Source organism: Homo sapiens, chromosome 17 (assembly GCF_000001405.40).
Source record: "Homo sapiens chromosome 17, GRCh38.p14 Primary Assembly".
In the NCBI taxonomy this organism is placed as follows: Eukaryota; Metazoa; Chordata; class Mammalia; order Primates; family Hominidae; genus Homo; species Homo sapiens.
This window is the reverse complement of record NC_000017.11, coordinates 41124837-41147240: the sequence shown is the minus strand read 5'-3', so window position 1 is coordinate 41147240 and position 22404 is coordinate 41124837. Positions and strand designations below refer to the sequence as shown.

The window sequence follows — 22404 nt, the reverse complement described above, 5'->3', positions numbered from 1 at the left end:
CAAGCGACTGCATGAATAGAAGTTAACATTACGTGGGCTTCACTCCAGCCTAAGTTAGGCGTTATGGTCTTAGCATATCATAAAAATGCCTTGCAGACACTTTCAGCTTCAGCCTTTTCCATTCACTCTAAATTATTCTACAGAGTACAGACTTGTCATTTCATACATCAGAATTAACAAACCTTTTATCCTCTCATATGTTTTTCTTTGACAACTGCTCATTACAGGATGCAGGCTTTGGTTTTAACATTATGCTTTATTAGCTAGAGTGAAATCAAAGACTATAGGTTTTATATGGTCTTTTCAGTATTAAAGTATATGAGGCTTGTAATTTCCTGTGTCCACAAGAACTGGGCCACAGCAGGAATGAGATGACACAGTGTATCTGCGTAATAAAGAGACTATTTGCAAAGGTGTAGCTAGAGTTCAGGGAAAGCAACAAGGGAAAGCTCAGTACCCAGGGCTCACAATAACAAGGAGCAGGTACCCCGGGTCTGAAGGCCTATGCAATAATTTGGGTGAAATGTCCCAAGGGTGGCATGCGAAACTTCTTAGAATAAGTATGCACAGACACTCAAGTACAGTCATTGGCTTTGGAGAGAGTTATGGTGCTCTGAAGGGTCCAAAGATGATATGGAAGACATTGTGGTGAAACCCAAGGTAGACATAAATTTATGAATGGGAAAGTGTGACTGCAGTTATTATTCTGTGGTCACATCAGCTTTATCTAAATGCACAGTAGAGATGGATTTTAAGTGAATGAAACATTGACTTAGTTGATGTTTCATTCACTTCAAAGTCTCTCAGTACTATTTGCCCATGCTAAATATATAGCTTTGGAATTGCTCAAGCCTTTCTAGCTAGTAAAACTAAGCAAGATAGAACTCCAGAAAGGCAACAATAGATGCCTGTTTTGATTAAAGAAGTAACTGAAATAAGAGTTTTAATTCCCATGAACTCCCTTATAACAGTCCCATCTGGCCAGTGAGTAAGGAAGAGGTTAATCAACAAGCTTGGTGATTAAACAAGTTGGTTCCACCAATTGTTTCAGCTGCACCACCTAAGTCAGAATTTTACAGGAAACTCAACAAACCTAGTAAGACTCATACGCCACTGCAGACTCAGCTAGTGTATTCTTTTCGATGCCAGTTTCAGAGCCCAGACAGGTGCAATTCACATTTTCATGGCAAGGAACGCAGTATACATATACAATTTTGCAACACAGATATATGAGTTCACTAGCATATTGCCATAACCTATCAAGGCAGACTTGAACTTGATAACCATTAGAAGCATGTTAATACCATACATTGATGACTGTGATACTAGCACATGAAAAATCATTAGTGAATTGAAAATCAAGTCCAGAAATAGACTAACGTACACAAAAGAATTTATTATATGAAAAGGTGGCACTTTAACTCAGTAATGGAAAGATGTATTATTTAATAAATGATGTTGAGCCTTGGTCACATCTGATTATAAAACATTTAAACCTCATATTTTTATCTGTATAAATTCCTAGTAGGTAAAATATTTTAAAATATAAAACATGAAACCTTGAAGTTAACAGAAATTATGGGATAATGCTTATGTAAATTTATAACTGGAAAGGCCTTTTAAAATATGACACATACCCAGGAGCTGTCAAAGAAAAAAATTCATAAATTTTACTGCATCAAAAGCAACATGAGGATAGAGAAAATTCCTTTCATATCTGATTTTGCAGAGAGGTTGTGTGTATAGTGATTAAAAACATGGACCCAGTGCTGGGCTGGCTGAAATAAAATTACATTTCCCCTGCTTACTGGCTTGAATCCCACCTGTGCCTTAAGTTTCTCATCTGTGAAGGGAGGATTATAATAGAATTTACCATACTGGATTGTTGGGACTAGTAATTGAGCGAATATATGTAAAACAGTAGAACAATTGCAAAACATGTCGTTTGTTATTTTGTTATTCCAGCATCCAGCAAAATTCTCAGTATACAATATTTAGAGAAGAAAGAAAAAGAAAGAAAGAAAGAAAAAAGAAGGAAGGAAGGAAGGAAGGAAAGAAAGAAAGGAAAGAAAGAAAGGAAGGAAGGAAGGAAGGAAGGAAGGAAGGAAGGAAGGAAGGAAGGAAGGGAGGGAGGGACAGGAATTCCATAAAACATTGGGTTTTTATTTTGCTTAAGTTTCTGAAAAGAACAAGTGTAGTTAGTGCATAATTGTGCCAACGATTCCATTCTAGTCTTTTAATGTAAATATTTCTTCCTTATCTCTAAATGGCTTATTCTTTTTAAGTTCTTCTTTTTTAGGCACATCTTATCCTTTCTTATTTATTTATCCTTTAAAAACTTTAATTATTGGCTTTAAGTAGGTAGGGGGTATAAATTACATATATAGAAAATTATAGAATATGTAAACAATTAGTTCAATTGAAATATCTTTTATAACTTTTAGGAAGAACCCTTCTTATACCTCTATTTTCAATTTGTTCCAAGTCTCTACTGATTATTTCAAAGAAAGAATTTAGTTATTTCATAAATAAATTTATTATTTCATAATAAAGAGAATAATTTATCTTTGTTATGCTCACGGCCATCACCTGATGCTGAGAGTTCAAATTTTACTGTCTTACTTCAACTTTTTTCTTTTCTTTTCTTTTCTCTTGTTTTTGAGATGGAGTCTCACTCTGTTGCCCAGGCTGGGGTGCAGTGGCATGATCTCTGCTCACCACAAGCTCCGCCTCCCAGGTTCATGCCATTTTTCTGCTTCAACCTCCCAAGTAGCTGGGACTACAGGCGCTCACCACCATGCCCAGCTAATTTTTTTGTATTTTTAATAGAGACAGGATTTCACCATGTTACCCAGGATGGTCTTGATCTCCTGACCTTGTGATCCACCTGCCTCGGCCTCCCAAAGTGCTGGGATTACAGGTGTGAGCCACCACGTCCAGCCTCACTTCAATTTTTTAATGGCATCTCTTCCCAGAAATCCAGGAGTGTTTTGTCATTTCTAAAGGCAGATCAAAAATTAAAATACATTGTGCATAGCATATATTTTGAAAGCACTTTTGCCAAAATTATAACAGCAAGAAAAATGAACCCACTGGGCGGTTACAATATCACCTAACATTCCTTCCTGAAGGCTTTTCATAGCTCCCTACCATTTCTTCCAGGATTTGAGGGTACCCACAATTTCTCCCTCATGCTATCAATCCCAACTTCTCTCATTACTTCTCAAAACAGACCTTTCAGCATATCACTTTCACCATCACAAGCCAGGGTCATGCCCAATCTCAATTATGTGCTCCTTTTATATCCCCTTTCTCTCCACCTATTTGAATGGTTTGTATTCTCAAAGGTCAGTGTGACCCTTGAAAGCCTTGACAAAATCTTCATCCATTAAACATATGTTTCAGGTTCTGTTATATAAAGATGAATAGATCATAGTCTATGCCCTAATGGAGTTTGTATTTTAGAAGGTGCCAATAGACAAATGAATTTCTGAGAGAGAATCAGATGGTAGAGGCTGTGCATATATAAGGCACAACAGATGTGCAGTGGAGGAAGGACCTTGCTTTGTGTGAGAACAAGAAAGATATTGGAGAAAAATGGCATTTGGACAGTAAAAAACAAATAGAAGAATGCTAAATTAAGAAAATAAAAAATATTTTACCCCAAAATATATTTTTTGACATATTTTAAGATGGCTGCCACATGACCAGCAGACTAAAGTGGCCCTGCAAAGCTGTCTTTTGTGAAGGAAATTTGCATCTGTAGAGAATCTCCATTAATGCAGTCAGGCCTTCTCATTATAGGCCTTTCCTGGATCTAGAAGAGAATAACTGACTGTCTGACACCCTTAGAGTTCTGAAAAAAATCATTTACCATCTCTTTTCTCTGAGAGTTGCTACCTGTGAGATTTCATCCACATAACAAGACCCCCTTTGCTGGCCAAGCCTCTTTCTTTCTCCCTCCCATAACCTGTTGATATGGTTAGGCTTTGTGTCCCCACCCAAATCTCATCTTGAATTGTAGTTCTCATAATCCCCACGTGTCATGGGAAGGACACAGGGGGAGGCAATTTAATCATGGGGTCGGTTACCTTCATGTGATAGTGAGTTCTCATGAGATTTAAGGGTTTTATAAGGGGCTTATCTTCCTTCTCCTCTGCACTTCTCCTTGCTCCCACGATGTGAAGAAGGATGTGTTTGCCTCCCCTTCTGCCATGATTGTAAGTTTCCTGAGGCTTCCCCAGCCATGGTGAACTGTGAGTCAATTAAACCTCTTTCCTTTGTAAATTACCCAGTCTTGGGTATTTCTTCATAGTAGCATGAGAATGGACCAATACACCTGCCTTGCCACTAAAACCTGTTTCCTGTTTTTGGCCATGCTCTGAGCCCTCATTCTTTCTGGGACCTCAAGATGTTGTATAAGCTTCTGTACCTTATTGAGGGGTTGAGTTTTCATTCTGAAGGCTCTTGGGTATACTTGTTAGATAAATGTGTATGCCTTTTCTCCTACTAATCAATCCGCCTCAAGTCAGTGATTTTTCAGTGAGGAAAATCCTTCCTCCATTGCACTTCTGTGGTGCCTTATTTACACATGGGCTCTATCATCTCATTCTCCATTGGAAATTCATGTGTCTATCAGCTCCTTCTAGAATACAAACTCCACTAGGGCAGAGATCTCCAGGTTCCTCAGGCCCCACATAAGTTCACAAGAGACATCCCTTCATTCCCAGGAAGAGAAAATATTGTGAAGGTAATTTGTTCTTTCCTTGAATAATTGCTTTTCCCTGAATGTCCACGGCACTAAAGAAGACCCTTTATTTAGAACCATGATCATGTGAGGATTTTATTTAAAAACTCTTTATGGGCCGGGCACAGTGGCTCTCTCCTATAATCCCAGCACTTTGGGAGGCCAAGGTGGGTGGATCACCTGAGGTCAGGAGTTTGAAATCAGCCTGGACAACATGGTGAAACCCCATCTCTACTAAAAATACAAAATTAGACGGGCGTGGTGACACATGGCTGTAATCCCAGCTACTTGGGAGGCTGAGGCGGAAGAATTACTTGAACCTGGAAAGCAGAGGTTGCAGTGAGCTGAGATGGTGCCACTGCACTCCAGCCTGGGCAATAAGAGTGAAACTCCATCTCAAAAAATAAATACATAAATAAATAAAATAAAAACTTGTTATGAATGCAATTTCTGTGTAAATGTAACTGGACCCAGGTTCAGCTGCTTGCTGCTGGAAAGCCAACACATAAGAGGCAAGGGCTGGTGAAAGGAAAGTTAGTTCTAGTTGGAGAGCCAGTAAACCAGAGGATAACCTTGCTTTGTGTGAGGCCAAGAAAGATATTGGAGAAAAATGGCATTTGAACTAACTGGTAATGAATAACTAGAAGAATGCTAAGTGAAGGAAATAAAAACATTTCACCCCAAGATATATCTCACTGACATCCTTTAGCTAGTGAACTAGCATTCTAAAGTGCCATCTTAAATTTTAAAATTTGCCATAGGGTTTTGAAAGGGAAACTTGGCATGGGAGACATGCAGGGGTGGTGCAGGGTGCTGAGTCTGCATGTCTTGTTCCAATGGCTATCTTGGGTGTCCAGAGGTTTGGGAGGCATTATTTTGACTTCAGCCCAATGGTGGTGGATTAATTGTTCAAGATTCCCCCTAAGTGAGAGGATTCCTCAGGGCTCTGTGCCTGGTTTGTTTCAAGATTAGCCTCTGGAATTTCTTAAGCAAGAATATAATTAGATAAGATATTAGATAGTATTGCCAGAAGGGAGTGTGCAGAGGGAAGGAATGAAGAGGTGAGAGGGGAGGAAAGGAAGAGAAAGTGGGTGATTTTTAAAATTGAGGTCCACAGTTACATAAGTACCTGTAAGTTAAAGAATATATCTTTTATATTCCTCTCAATGCTTCTTAAAAAATCTTAGAAATAAGTGATACTAAAAAAAAACCCTGCTAGATGTTTTAGCTCAAAATGTATGAAAAAGATTTTAACAAAATGTCAATAAAGCATAACCATTACACATTTGATATTTCAAAAGGCAGATCAAAAACTATGATCCACATTACTCTACTTCAGCCTGTAGGACACTTTTGAAGACAGACGCAGCTCAAGCCCAGATGATGCTTTGTTCCTTAGAAACAGTGAGTCACTACTAACTGTTTCAAGGTGCACCAGAGTGATGAGAATTAACACAGCTTGCAATGACCTAGGAATTTAGTTAGCTCAATGGCCACCCAGAATACATACAATGAATCATAAGCTTCCTTATTTCTCACACTCAAAAACAGGAGCATATTTTCTTTTTTTCCTGTCAGCATTCCAGCTGATTGACACATGCATTTCTCCACTAGAGATCTTAGCCCAATCAGAAGCTCTCCCAAAACGATATCATGATGAGAAACAGACAAGTGACAGTGGCCCTCCCATGTCACATGATACCCAGAGACTGAAGTCATGTGACACTGAAACCAAGGAAAGGAAAACAAGAGGTGACTCATGTGGGAACACCAGGGTGAGAAAAGGGAAATAATCATTTTCTATATATTGGGATTTTTTACTAGAAAAACACAATATAATTTAGTAATTGCATTTGTGTCATATAAACAAAAACAAGGAAACAATCTTCTCATAATCACAAAGGCTCCTCAGCTGGGTATAAAAGGGGACATGCAGCAAGGAGACTCCCAAACTCACGAAACTCACTCTCTTGGAAACCCACCCAGAACCTTTACCCTCTGACACCATGGTCAGCTCCTGTTGTGGTTCCGTCTGCTCTGACCAGGGCTGTGGCCTGGAGACCTGCTGCCGCCCCAGCTGCTGTCAGACCACCTGCTGCAGGACCACCTGCTGCCGCCCCAGCTGCTGTGTGTCCAGCTGCTGCAGACCCCAGTGCTGCCAGTCTGTGTGCTGCCAGCCCACCTGCTGCCGTCCCAGCTGCTGTCCCAGCTGCTGTCAGACCACCTGCTGCAGGACCACCTGCTGCCGCCCTAGCTGCTGTGTATCCAGCTGCTGCAGACCCCAGTGCTGCCAGTCTGTGTGCTGCCAGCCCACTTGCTGCCGTCCCAGCTGCAGCATCTCCAGCTGCTGTCGCCCCAGCTGCTGTGTGTCCAGGTGCTGCAGGTCCCAGTGCTGCCAGTCTGTGTGCTGCCAGCCAACCTGCTGCCGTCCCAGCTGCTGCATCTCCAGCTGCTGCCGCCCCTCTTGCTGTGAATCCAGCTGCTGCCGCCCGTGCTGCTGCCGCCCCTGCTGCTGCCTGCGTCCAGTCTGTGGCCGAGTCTCCTGCCACACCACTTGCTATCGCCCAACCTGTGTCATTTCCACCTGCCCCCGTCCCTTGTGCTGTGCCTCCTCTTGCTGCTGAGCTCCTTGCCTGAAACTATCTCCTCCCCTTCAGCTCACTCCTCACAGAAGCAGACCTTGTGCATCTCATAAACAACTCAGAAGAGGCCATTCCCACCAACTGTGTTTCCATATCCTGGACATATATCTAGGATATATGTCCTGGCTATACATCTAGAATATATGTTCCCCATGTTGACCCAAGTGTGAAATTAGATATTATTTACAGAAAGAAATTAATAGAATTTACCAAATTTTATACCTTATATTTGTATTTATGGATACCAAGTTCTTCTGTCCCAAACATGGAAATTCTTGCAGGGTAACTCGGGGCAAGGTTGTCTCACTCTCAGATTTGAAAGTCTGATTGTTTCACCCTGTATTTCCTTTTACAGCAATGTTTCTGTATCTTATTTTTGCTGCTTCTGAATAAAACTCCACTTTTGTCGCATAGAAATACAATGTTCTTTTTGTGTTGCTTTGTAATGATTGTCCTTAGTTCCTGAGAAATTCCACCCAAAACACAACTGAACGAATCCTATTCTTGCTCTCACCTTCAAGAAAATTGCAACATGTAATGACCTAAAAAAAAGGCAATACATGGATGTTTCCAAAAGTATTGAAAAAAATAAAGATTTTAAGTTAAGTTTTTTTATGAATATGGAGAAGGGTTATATCCCACAGCTAAATTTTCTTAAATATTTTTGAAAGTGTATCTTTCCCTACAATCTCACTCCTCTCTTATTTGCTTTATTTTTCCGTTTCCCTCCTCCACCCATGGCCCCCGATCCTGTCATCTTGTTCTGCCCTTATCTCTTTTATCCCATTCTTGTAAAACCAGAGGCTACTCTTTAAGGTTTATCCATCTCTCGTGTAATTCAATTTATCACACTCTCAGCTGCTTTAATTTCATCTCCATCCATTAACAACAAAATAATTACCTTTAGGGAAAATCAATCTTCTGAGAAGTTGGGGAATTGCAGAAAATGTAAAATACTCAAATTTTAGTATTTTTCCTACCTTAATGACTTTTCTGTGGTGTGTATTTAATAGCATGGTCTTGGGGCACATGGTCTTGGTCAATAAATTCTACAAAAATGAATTTTCATAGAGAAATATGGGGACTTAGAAGAAACCAACTAACGGAATAGTTTGGTTCTTAGTTAAACCCAGAATATGGCCTATAAACTCCATCCTAGGGGGAAAATGGTGAAAATAAATTTTATGTCAATTCAAGCTAGTAAAAGCAGGAGAAACATTTAGAAAGTTCTGTACTAAATACATATTCTAGGAGTTAAAGGTCCAGTAAATAATGTAGTGGTATTGAATCATGAATCTTTAACTTCCATAGGTTCTACTACATGAACGAACAATAATTTAGACTGTGTAGGGGCATTATTCCTTCACACCACTTACAGCACACAACTCCTAATGGGTCAGAGAAAGTAGGTGAAAATTAAATGAACCTCCAGTTGGTCTCAGCATATGAAATGGGACTTTGAATGCCGTGGGACTGAATGTGGCTTCCTGGTCATAGGGAATAAGTGTCTGAGAATAAGACATCTATGCCCTGAGCTGTGGGACACTCCATCACTTGTAAGTTGAAAACAAAGCAACAGAAACCACAGGAGACTGGAAAGGAATCACCAGAGAAGTAAGACAACAACTAGCAGAGTGCAAGGTCCAAAATCCCGATGAAGGAAAGAGTGGTCACTTGAAAAAGTAAAGGACACTCACAGGTAGGAATTGAACAATGAGAACACTTGGACACAGGGCAGGGAACATCACACACAGGGTGGGGAACATCACACACCAGGGCCTGTTGGGGGGTGGGGGGCTGGGGGAGAGATAGTATTAGGAGAAATACCTAATGTAAATGATGAGTTGATGGGTGCAGCAAACCAACATGGCACATGTATACCTATGTAACAAGCTTGCACGTTGTGCACATGTACCCTAGAACATAAAGTATAATTAAAAAAATTAAAAAACAGAATTCCACTTCCAGTTGTGACAAAGTAACTGATAGAAGATTCAACCTCTCAGTAGGAATGACTCTGACAATTAGACAAAACTAAGAAAACAGTTGTTTATGAGCATTGGGAGTTGACTTATGCAGGCAGTATTTGAGAGACCATGGTCTCAGAAAAAAATTAAATTCCTTCAGCTGAAAGACAAGATCACCTCCAGCCTCTAGTTTTTCATATATAATTCCTGAATTTCTGGCATTCAATTAAAAAAATTACCAAGTATGCCAGAAAAAAATGACTAAATGAGCAAAATCAAGAAGAAAAAAGAAAATAGAAACAGAGCCAAGGATGATCTATATACAGGTACTAACACTGACTTTAGAATACTTACAATTAATATGTTTGAAATAATAGATTAAAAATGTAAATTTTATTAAAGAAGTAGAATCTATTTTTAAAAAGTTCAGTAAAAATTCTAGAACCAAAAAACTCAAAAACTGAAATTAAGAATTCAATAAATAAGCTTAACAGAAGATTAGACAGGAGAGAGGAACAGCAAAATGGAAGTAGAAAATATTCACATTGGAATGCAGAGAGAAGAAAAGTTTTAAAATGGAGAAAATAGCATAAGACACACTTGGAGCATAGTGAAAAGTCTAACATACATGTAAATTGGAGTCCCAGAAAGAGAGAAGAGAGAATGGAGAAGTTATAAACAAAGAGATACTGGATGGCAATTTGAGACAATTGATGACAGACCTCCAGTCACAGATTCTAGAACATCTCTGAACCCAAGCAGAGTGAATAAAAAGAAAAACAACATGTAGGCACATCAAGGAAAGTTGTTGAAAACCAAAGATAAAAAGAAAATCATAAACGTAACAAGAAATGGATACAGCCATTATAGAAAACAGTATGGAAGTTTCTTTGAAAATTACAATAGGTCTGCCATATAAAATCTAGCAATTCCACTTCTAGGTATATATCTGAAGGTAAAAAATCAGTATCCTGGAGTTATCTGCACCTCATGTTTACTGCAACATTATTCTCAATAGCCAGGATATGGATTCAGTATGTGTCCATTAAAGGATGAATGGAGATATATATATATATATATACACACATATATATACACACACACACACACATACACACACACATCATATATAATAATATTAATATATGTTAAAGCATACATATAAAGAAATATTATTCAGCTTTAAAAAAGGAAATTCTGCCATTTGTGACAAGATGGATGAGCCTGGAGGATACTATGTTAAGTGAAATAAGGCAAACACGGAAGGAAAAGTACTGCATGATGTCACTTATATGTGGAACCTTAAAAAAAGTGAAACTCACAAAAGCAGAGAGTAGAATGGTGGTTATTAGGGGCAGGAAGGTGAGGGAAATTAGAAGATATCTGTCAAAGGGTACAAGGTTCCAGTTATGTAGAATGAATAAATTCTAAAAATTTAATGTACAGCATGGTGACTACAGTTAATAATACTGTACTGTATGCTTGAAACTTGCTAAGAGAGTAGATGTTAAGTGTTTTCACACACACACACATGCACACACACACACACACAAAGGCAACTAACTATGTGAGGCAATGAATATGTTGATTATCTTGCCTTTAGTAATCATTTTACAATGTATATCAAAACATTGTATTGTACACCTTAAATTATATATATATAATTTTATAATAAAATAATAAAATAAGTAAAAGCAACAGGGGAAAAAACAACATACACTTTTACAAAAAGAACAGGAAGCCTAAAACTCAACTGAAATAATGGAAGTGAGAAGACGATGAAGAGACATCTTGTGAAGGGAAACACTGCCGATAGAGAATTATATGCCCAGAGAAACAAAAAAGATAATGAAATTAAGTTATTTTCAGGAAAACAGAAATGAGAGAATAGGTTAACAGAAAACTTTGCCAAAAGAAAAAGACTAGGCCAGGAGCTGTGGCTAACGTCTGTAATCCCAGCAGTTTGGGAGGCCGAGGTGGGTGGGTCACTTTGAGGTCAGGAGTTGGAGACCAGCCTGACCAACATGGAGAAACCCCATCTCTAGTAAAAATACAAAACTTAGCTGGGCATGGTGGCAGGCGCCTGTAATCCCAGCTACTCAGGAGACTGAGGTGGAAGGATTGCTTGAACCCAGGAGGCAGAGGTTGCAGTGAGCTGAGATTGCACTACTGCACTCCAGGCTGGGCGACAGAGCAAGACTCTGTTTCAAAAAATAAAAATAAAAACAAAAACAAAAAACAAAAGAAAGGCTTCAAGTAAAAGGAAAGTGATAGGAAGGATGGTCCCAACAAAGGGTAATTCTACATTGTTCTTTTCCAAATCAGTCATTTTCTATATTCCATTTCTTCATTATGATTTTCATTTTTAAATTTTTATTTAATATACTTTAAGTTCTGAGATACATGTGCAGAACGTGCAGGTTTGTTACATAGGTATACACGTGCCATGGTGGTTTGCTGCACTCATCAACCCATCGCCTAGGTGTTTTTTTTTTTTTTTTTTTGAGACAGAGTCTTGCTCTATCACCAGGCTGGAGTGCAGTGGCCCGATCTCAGCTCACCGCAACCTCCACTTCCTGGGTTCAAGCAGTTCTCCCGCTTCAGCCTCCCAAGTGGCTGGGACTATAGGTGCACACAGCCATGCCCAGATAATTTTTGTATTTTTGGTACAGACGGGGTTTCACCATGTTTGCCAGGATGATCTCGATCTCCTGACCTCGTGATCTGCCCATCTCAGCCTCCCAAAGTGCTGGGATTACAGGCATGAGCCACTGCACCCTGCCCATCATCTAGGTTTTAAGCCCCACATGCATTAGGTATTTGTCCTAATGCTCTCCCTCCCCTTGCCCCCAACCCCCCGATTTCCATTTTTTGTTTACCTTTTAAACCCATTTATATATAGTCTCCTTCAGAATTTTCAGTTATCTCAATTCCCAGGGGTTATATTCCCTTTTCCTGTGTCTACTATACTACTCATGATAAATTATTTTCTTACATATTTTGTAATATTTGCCTATGCATTTATCTTATGCAGAAATTGACCCCTGTGGGGGATCCCATGCAATCTGTGTGTGGTTTCTTAGAGGTTTATTTTTCCTTGTGCTTAATGCTTTTTTATTTTTATATTTTTTTCTTTTTGGGGTGTTCTTTCTGTGTGCTATTCCTTTTGCTTTTGTTTCTGATTATTTCAAGGACATGCACTATTTAGTATCAGCAGTTTCTCACCTTGAGGTTCCTCCACTATGCATACAGTGTGAATTAAGAAGCTTGGTGATATTGCATGGTTTAGTTGTTCATGACTTTATTACCACATAAAATTCCTGTAGGCAGACTAAGGTTTTCTTGTCTCCATCTTATGCACAAAAATGCTTTCAGAATGTAAACCTTAAGTTTACATTCTTCTCTTTTGACATCAAAGGGATCTTGGCATCATGAGAACAATCTGCCCAAACAGCGTTCTTAAGAATATAAACTTTATATAAGGGTCTTACTTCCTAGATCCTGCCTGGTGATAGTTTCAGGTCCCATTTCTTGTACCTGCCTGAGTTTTAACCACCAGCCTCCAGTTCTGAGGGCATCTAACTGGATGCCAAACCTTCCCACAGGCCACAGGACATCAGCTAGTGTTTGCCATTTGAGTTCCCTCTTAGTTTCTGACAAATGAGAATTTTTCTCTACTTTTCTCAAGTTCAACTACGATTGAATTTTTTAAAAAATCTTTGAAGAATTTATACTTACTCATACCAGGAAGTGGGTCTGTCAGTATCAACTCAGTCAGCTACATTGCCAGAAGTTCTTTATTTTCAGAGACCCAAGGAGATGAAAGATTTCCTGTGTTAGAAATATTTTTAAAGGGTTTTTATAGTAGATGCTCCTATGAAGTAAATTTTATTATATACTTCAGCATTTCCTCCAAAAGACCCAAACTCCTCACTCTTATTATACTAAGAATTGTTAAATTAAGTTTAGCCTAAAGCTGCCTCTTTACATATTTTAGGCTTGGCATAAACGTTTCTCCATGCATAGTAAACTGTAACCTAACTGGATATGTAAACAAACTGTAACCTACCTTTCCAACAAGTATCCAAGTCCACGGCAGCCCAGTTCTGGTCAATCACAGGGGCCAACTGTTTAAACCATGTTCAACTAAAGCAAACGTTGAGCTCTAACGAGCCCAGCTATTTCTGTCCCTCACTTTGGTTTTCTGTACATCACTTTCCTTTTCCTTTTTTTTTTCTTTTTTTCTTTTTTTTAGATTAGGGCTACTTTTAATAATTGAGGTATGTGATCATAACTCAATTCTTCATCTTAATCTTCAGATATTTAGTAGAACATCATATGGTCTCAGTTGCAACTACTCAAATCACTTTCCTTTTTCTATCCATAAATGTTATTTAACCAAATGGAAGCCAAGGAGTTGCTCCGAACTTGTGCTTGTCTGGGAGCTTCCCAATTCATGAATTATTCTTTGATGAATTAAAATCTGTTAAATTTAATTTGCCTAAATGTTTCTTTTAACACGCCAAAGAAAAAATACTTTTTCAATCCTAATTCGTTTTATTTTTAAACTTTTTTCATTTTTGAAAACATTTCAAACTTACAGAATAGTTATAAGAGTAAAGAATTCCTTATGCCATATAGTCTTCACCTAGATTCAACATTTGGCCACATTTGATTTCTCTCTCTCTCTAGAGAGATGACATGGATAGAGATAGACTTATGTCCTAAGACTAAGGACATTTTCATGTATAACCACAGTAAAGATATCAATTAAACTGAATGTTGATGCAATATTATTACCTAATATACATGCTATATCCAAATGTTGCCATTTTTCCAATATATCCTATAAAGCAATTTTTATCCATGTTCATACATTGCATTTAGCTATCATATCTCCTTACTTTATTTAGACCTGAAATACTTGCTCAGACTGTCTTTATATTAGATGGTGCTAATATTTTTGAAGATAGCAGACCAGTCGTTATGTGGAGTATTTCTTAGTCTGAGGTTATCTGATGTTTCCTCATGCTTATATTCAGGTTTTGCATTTTAACAGAAATATTGCATAAGTAATGTGTCCTTTCAGTGTGTGACTTCAGGAGACACATGCTAGTTTGACCATTATTAATGCTGCTAACTTTGATCCTGTGATGAAGGGTATGTTCTCAAGTTTCTTCACAGTAAAGTTAACATTTTCCCTTTGAAATTAATAAACAGTTATTGGGAAAATATTTTGAAGTGTGCAAATATCCTGCTCCCCATTAAACTTCCACCCAATAGTTATAGCATTCATTGATGATATTCACTTGATCAAGTTTTATTATAATGGCTGTAAATGGTGATTTGAAACTCCTTTATTCCTTCTACATTTACTCATTGACATTCTACTGTCATGGATAACTTTCTCATCTTCCTTTTTTTAACTTCTCCATTTAATTCATATCAATATGGACTCATCAATCCTTAATTTTATTTGATGGGTTGTAATCTATTACTGCCAATATTCATTTTGGTGCCCAAGTCCCATATTAGGCCAGTGAAAGTTTATTCAGAGTAGCTCCAAATGCCTTTTCATATTTTAAAACAATGAGTCATTGTTAACAGTTTCAAATTGAATAAAGGAAATGATACCTGGTGCATACTTTGAAGAAGTCTAGAGAGTCCACTATCTAATGAGCATTTATGACTCACAAATAGGATATGTCTTCCTCATTGCTCACCGGTAACTAACTCAGAAAGATGAGCTTGTTTCTTTTTATTTCCCTACTCTAATTCTGCTTCTCTTTGACATCAAAAGAGATCTTGGCATCATGAGAACAATTTGCCCAAACAGGATCATGGCGTGATGCACAGATCACAGGTACATACCGGACTGAATCCATGTGATGGGCCATCTTGAGAAGACACAGTAGACAAAGAAATAGGCAAGATAATTCTGTGAGAAAGTCCAGATTGGAAAATCTTAACACACTAGGAAAGGGAAATAATATTTTCCTACATCTTAAAATATTTAACCAGAAAAACGTAATGATCTAATTTCGTGTATAGTGTATAGGTGTGTTTTAAACTTCCCTCTACTCTCTAGATGTGAGAATTTGAGTCTCTGGAAAAAAGTGACAGCAGACTGATCAACAGGAGAAAAGGCATACAAATTTATTACATGCATGTGCAGAGCCTCACAAACTATAAGACTTGAAGAAGGGCCAATGATTGAAGTTTGTATAGCATCAGAATAGGGTCTTGGGGATTCTTAGGGGAGGTGTCCACAAGCTATGGGAAGGTGAGGGAAAGAAATGTATGGTGAACAAAGGCTGTCTTGCTATGTAGGTAAAGTCTTTCAGGCAAAGCCGCTCTGGGGTGATGTCAACATTTAGCCTCTTTTCCTGTTATATATCTTTCCTGGATGTCTTCAGGCAGATACGGGAACCTCAGAGAAAACCTCTGCTTATAGCTGCTGTTCCCCACAATTCCCCAATCAAGGTACCAAAGAATCATATTTTGGGGTTTTGTTTTCTGAGCCCCAACATCTCCATAAGAAAATAAAGTAGGAAATGATCCCGGACATGGTCACAGCTGCTTCAGCAGAGCACAAAAAAGGACAGGTGGCAAAGGGACTTTCAAATTTACTAAGCTCACTCTCTTACTAATATGTATATTTAGAATTGTTATATCTTCTTGCTGAATTGATCCCTTTATTATTATATAATGACCTCCTTTCTCTGTTTTTACTGTTGTTGATTTTAAGTTTGTTTTATCTGTTATAAGTATAGCTACCCCTTCTGGAAAAATAAGCTCATAATGGTCAAAATTGAGACATAATGTTATAAAAGCCTTGAATTTTAAAGAAAAACATAATAATTATTTAAAGAAAAGTAATCATTTGAACATCCAGGCAAAATGTCCATGTCAACCAGAAGGAAATAAAACGAGCTTGTTTTCACACATTTTGATGAAAATGTCAGAAGATAATAGAGTAATGCTCAAGGAAAGAAAATGTGAGGCAAAGATTTTAAATTCAGCCAAACTGAACTTCAGGTATAAAGGCCACAAACAAACTATTATAAACATGAAAAAACTCAGTGAATATTCTCCACCATGGGTGGATCCTGAAGAATTTATTAACAAGTGAACTTCATAAAATCAGATGACTAAAGATACTGGAAGGACATCTACATGAGGTCTGGATCGATATATATCCTTTGGAACTAAGAACAGAATGAACGATAAGCCTAAGAGAGGAAGTGTGATAACTAACAGCTATGTACTGACAATGTTGATACAGCACAACTACCAAAACAGGAAGGAAAAGGAGAGCAAATATATAAAGTAGAAGTTTGCTGATTGCCTTATAGATATTAACCAGGAATTCAAATCTCATGCTCAGGGAGTGAGGAATAAAGAGGTAACCAGATAATTTCAATATTTCTGTAAGCAGAGAATCAACTGACAGTAGCTAAAAAATAGAGCTCATGAGGTATATAAAGGTAACCGTTAGTACAAAATACAAACATTCCTAAATACCAAAAGGCATACTGAGAAAGAGAGAGAATTTAAAAGGTGAAAGATTAGAATTTTAAAAGTGAAAGACAGAGAGATAGAAAGATAAAGAGACAGGCAAGAGAAATATTTAACAAATATAGAAGATAACTTATTATATATCATTATTATATATAAGTATAATAAAAATGACATAATTAAATTTAAGCATATTGATTATATCCATACATATAATAGGCTCAACTGACTTTAAAAAAAGATTTTCAGATTGGCTTATGAAAAGGAAAGCTCAGCATTATGCTGTCTATAAAGAGACACAAGTGAATCAACAAGCATCAGAAGGTTAAAAGTGAAAAGGTAAAGACAGAGATACATATATGAAAATGCAAATGGAAGAAAGCAGGGGCTACAATTCTTCTATCCCACAAGTTAGACTTACACAAAAAGCATTACAGAAGACAAAGTAGGAAAAAGTATTATGCTAAAGGCTACAATCAACACATAAATATAGAGATAAAACTTCACATACAGAAGCTACAGTTAATATAAGAATAAAAATAAGACAAGCCAATAATCAAATACTCTAATCCACTATGGAATTAATGAGAGAAACTGTGGAGAAAAATTAATAAGAATATTATTTTATGTTTTTGTTTGCTTTGTCGAAGATCAGTTGGCTGTAAGTATTTGAGTTTATTTCTGGGTTCTCTATTCTGTTCCATTGATCCATGTGCCTATTTTTATGCCAGTACCACACTGTTTTGGTGACTATGGCCTTAGAATGTAGTTTGAAATCAGATAGTGTGATGCCTCCAGATTTGTTCTTTTTGCTTAGTCTTGCTTTGGTTATGTGGGCTCTTTTTTGGTCCCATATGAATTTTAGAATTGTTTTTTCCAACTCTGTGAAGAATGATGGTGGTATTTTGATGGGGATGGCATTGAATTTGTAGACTGCTTTTGGCAGTATGATCATTTTCACAATATTGATTCTACTCATCCATGAGCATTGGATGTGTTTCCATTTGTTTCTATCGTCTATGATTTCTTTCAACAGTGTTTTGTAGTTTTCCTTGTAAAGGTCTTTTGTCTCCTTTGTTAAGTATATTCCTAAGTATTTTTTTTTTTTTTTGCAGCTATTGTTAAAGGGGTTGAGTTCTTGATTTGATTCTCCGTTTGGTCGCTGTTGGTGTATAGAAGAGCTGGTGATTTGTGTACATTAATCTTATATCTGGAAATTTTGCTGAATTCTTTCATCAGTTCTAGGAGCTTTCTGGAGGAATCCTTAGAGTTTTCAAGGTAAACAACCATACTGTCAGCAAACAGGGACAGTTTGACTTCCTCTTTACTGATTTGGATGCCCTTTATTTCTTTCTCTTGTCTGACTGCTCTGGCTAGGGCTTCCAGTACTATGTTGAAGAAGAGTGGGAGAGTGGGCACCCTTGTCTTGTTCCTGTTCTCAGAGGTAATGCTTTCAACATTTCCCCATTCAGTATTATGTTGGCCGTGGGTTTGTCATAGATGGCTTTTATTACATTAAGATATGTCCCCTGTACGCTGATTTTGCTGAGGGTTTTAATAATAAAAGGATGCTGGATTTTGTCAAATGTTTTTTCTGCATCTATTGAGATGATTATGTGATTGTTGTTTTTAATTTTGTTTATGTGGTGTATCACAGTTATTGACTTGCATATGTTAAACCATCCCTGCATCCCTGGTATGAAACCCACTTGATTATGGTGGATTATCTTTTTGATATGTTGTTGGATTCAGTTAGCTAGTATTTTGTTAAGGATTTTAGCATCTATATTCATCAAGGATATTGGTCTGTAGTTTTCTTTTTTGGTTATGTCATTTTCTGGTTTTGGTATTAGGGTGATGCTGGCTTCATAGAATGAATTAGGGAGGATACCTTAATTGTCTATCTTGTGGAATAGTGTCAAAAGGATTGTTACCAATTCTTCTTTGAATGTCTAGTAGAATTCTGCTGTGAATCTGCCTAGTCCTGGACTTTTTTTTGTTGGTAATTTTTTAATTACCATTCAATCTCACTGGTTGTTATTGGTCTGTTCAGGGTATCTAATTCTTCTCGATTTAAGTTAAGAGGGTTGTATTTTTCCCTGAATTTATCCATCTCTTCTAGGTTTTCTAGTTTATGTGCATAAAGGTGTTCATAGTAGCCTTGAATGATCTTTTGTATTTGTGTGGTGTCAGTTGTAATAGCTCCCATTTCATTTCTTAGTGAGGTTATTTAGATTTTTTCTCCCTTTTCTTGGTTAATCTTGCTAATGGAACATCATTCAAAGCTGACCAAAGTATTTTTTTTAACTCCTGTCAATATGAACCTGTGGGTTCCAGTTCATATCCCCATTGGTGCTCAAATAACAAACTTCAAGTTGGTCTCTGGCTACTTTTGACGTGAATCTAGTAGATTTTTTTTAATATATATATAATAAGATATTCCAGGTTCATTTGTATATTTCCTTACCCACACTTATATTCAGCCATTTCTCCAAGGAACCCCTGTTCCTTGTAGTGAATATGGCATTTGGGACGAAAGATTGAAATGTAAAAATGATGAGTATTACTAAATTGATTATTTTCTCTCAACTTTTTCAGTGTCCACAACTAGAAAATATTTGCTTAAAAGATAAAGTACATCAGCGTTTCTACTGATAATTACAGGATTTTTACTTAACCTCATATCTTTTTCCTAAATCTCTTTTATTCCTTGCCAAAAATAACAGTTCCTTGATGTAATTACTCATTTTCTTTATTACCTAATGCTTGCACAACAATCTTGGAATAATATTGCCAATACTAATAACAACAGTGTAGTTATTGCAAACAAACTTAACAGGTTTTTGAAAAAAACATTTTGGCCTTGGGATAGTTACTTTCTCTGAAGTTATGCCTGGATATACAGTTAGATTCCATTGTTGTGGTGGTGGTTTTAGTGATTTTGAGAGATTTTAAAAATTTAATATTTTTATAAGTATGTAAAATATTTACATGGGTGCAAAGTCCAAGCTACAGAAAAAGATACATTCAAAAATAATCTAGTGTCTGTTTCTATCTTCTCTATTCTATTCCCTCCATCCTCTATGGGTCAATTTTTAAAAAACAAACATGGGCTGGGTGCGGTGGCTCACGCCTGTAATCTCAGCACTTTTGCGAGGCTGAGGCAGGGAATCATGAGGTCAGGTGTTCAAGACCAGCCTGGCCAAGATGGTGAAACCCCATGTCTATTAAAAATACAAAAATTAACTGGGTGTGGTGGTGGGCGCCTGTAATCCCAGTTACTCAGGAGGCTGAGGCAGAGAATTGCTTGAACACAGGAGGTGGAAGTTGCAGTGAGCCAAGATCGCTCCACTGCACTCCAGCCTGGGTGACAACGTGAGACTCCGTCTCAAACAACAACAACAACAACAACAACAACAAAACCAAATGTGGTTGATTCTTCCATTATTTTTTTCTTTTTTTTTCAGCTACATTAAATTACAATTGACATATAATAAATAAACTGCATGTACTTAAAATGCACAATTTGATGTTTTGACAGAAGTCCCTCTTTCCTGTTTTCTCATCTCCTCTCTCTCTATTCTTCTGTCGTTTTTTAAAGTGTAAGCAAATATACTTTCAATATTTATATCCTGGATTTTTAAAACATTGTTGCAGAACAATTGTACACATTTTCCTCCACTGCTTTATCGTCTCCTAACAATATCTACTGGAGATTAATTTATAGTAGCCTATAGAGACACTCCTTATTCCTTTTGACAGCTGCATAGTACTCCATCATGGGAAGGCACCACAGTTTATACACCAGTACCCTATTGAAGGACACCTGGGTTGTATCCAGTGTTGTTGTAGTTTTTAGTTTTTTTCCCAAATAGAACTCTTATGAATCGTCTTGTGCAATATCTTTCATATATTTACCTGAGTATCTTTGAGATATTTTATGGAATTGGGATAGCTGAGTCAAAGAATAATGCTGCTAGTTATTGCCAAACCTTCACAAGACAAATACGAGCATGCCTATTTTCACATCATCTCACTTCCAGAGAATGCTATCAGATTTTGAATTTTTGATAATCTAACAGGTGAGAAGTATCGTACCATATTATTTCATTTCTCTTACTATGCATGAGATTGAGTATATTTATATGGTGGTAAAATATTTGCATTTTATTTTCCCATTAGGCTGTTGGTCTGTTTTCTATCTATTTCCAGAAGCCTTTTTTTCTTCTTCTTCTGTCACCCAGGCTGGAGTGCAGTGGTGCAATCTTGGCTCACTGCAACCTCCGCCTCCTGGGCTCAGGCAATCCTCCCACCTTAGCTTCCTGAGTAGCTGGGACCACAGACCACAGATGCATGCCACCTCGCCATTTTTTTTTTTTTTTTTGCTTTTTTTTGTTTTTTTGGTAGAGATGGGGTTTTGCCAAGTTAACCAAGTTGGTCTCAAATTCCTAACCTCAAACAATCCGCCTGCCTTGGCATCCCAAAGTGCTGGGATTACAGGTGTGAGCCACCGTGTCCAGTCTCAGAAGTCTTTTATATACTATTAACCCTTTGTCCGTGATATTAATTGCTAGTTCTTTTTTTATTATTTAGTCATTTGTGTTTTTACTTTGTTTATGATGGTTTCTTACCATACATTTTTTTTTTTTAAATTTTACTTTAAGTTTTGGGATACATGTGCAGAACATGCAGGTCTGTTACATAGTTATACATATGCCATGATGGTTTGCTGCACCTATCAATCCGTCATCTGGGTTTTAAGCCCGACATGCATCAGGTATTTGTCCTAATGCTCTCCCTCCCCTTGTCCCTCACCCCCGACAGGCTCCAGTGTGTGATGTTCCCCTCCCTGTGTCCATGTGATCTCATTGTTCAACTCCCACTTAGGAGTGAGAACATACCTTGCATCTTTTTAATTATAAATAATTGTTTTTAAATATCAGGAGGGATTTAATTGCAAAATGTTCATGCGCAAAATGTTCCTTGAACACTCTAGGAGAGACGCCCTTTCCCTGTTACAGACTGTGTGACTTCAATCTATCTGGGCCTCAAGTACCTTGGATGTAAAGAATTTAGAAAAATTGTGTCTACATAGCAGAATCCTTGTGAAGTATAAACAAGATAACAATTATAGAGGACTCAGAAAATTCCTGACACATAGTAAGCACTCAAAAAATTATAACTATTAGTATTGTTTCATCTTTCATTGGAAGTGTACAGATTAAATACATAATTGTTATTTTGTTCACTAATCACACCATTCTCTAAATAGTTGCTAAATTCTTTCCTATACATGTTTCTTATTTGTCTTGTTTAAGCTTCTGTAGGACAGAAATTAAACTTGATCCTTTGTTTCTTTTCTCCATGTATCAAGCAAAATATCTCCAACATACATTGTGAGAAAAAGCAGCTTTCGAGTATGAGAAAATCTACTTTCAATAACACTTCAGTTAAACACATTCAGTGGGTATCTTGACTTACCAACAAAATAGAACAAAAATGTTCCTTATGATCCCCATCTCTGAAGAAC

The 22404-nt window shown here is 37.4% G+C and overlaps 1 protein-coding gene across 1 annotated transcript, besides 2 other annotated features; it reads left to right on the top strand.

Moving 5' to 3' along the window:
* Positions 2859-2961: a silencer, noted in NCBI's record as "fragment chr17:39300532-39300634 (GRCh37/hg19 assembly coordinates)". NCBI's record gives its function as "represses an EF-1alpha promoter that drives an FKBP-Casp9 reporter gene in an ReSE screen in phorbol 12-myristate 13-acetate-treated (for megakaryocytic differentiation) K562 erythroleukemia cells {active_cell/tissue: K562(+PMA)}" and the evidence as "EXISTENCE:reporter gene assay evidence [ECO:0000049][PMID:32094911]".
* On the top strand, positions 6697-7808 carry KRTAP4-6 (keratin associated protein 4-6). Its single transcript, NM_030976.2, has one exon. The coding sequence runs from the start codon at positions 6754-6756 to the stop codon at positions 7369-7371; it is 618 nt and encodes a 205-aa protein (NP_112238.1). The 5' UTR covers positions 6697-6753; the 3' UTR covers positions 7372-7808.
* Positions 7053-7565: an enhancer, noted in NCBI's record as "H3K4me1 hESC enhancer chr17:39295928-39296440 (GRCh37/hg19 assembly coordinates)". NCBI's record gives its function as "activates a minimal SCP1, AML or CMV promoter by ChIP-STARR-seq in primed H9 embryonic stem cells {active_cell/tissue: H9 hESC(primed)}" and the evidence as "EXISTENCE:reporter gene assay evidence [ECO:0000049][PMID:30033119]".
* Positions 7809-22404: the final 14596 nt, after the last annotated feature.

What these genes read in the sequence shown, in the direction of transcription:
- KRTAP4-6 (NM_030976.2), top strand. Translation starts at nt 6,754, where the DNA reads ATGGTCAGCTCCTGTTGTGGTTCCGTCTGCTCTGACCAGGGCTGTGGC.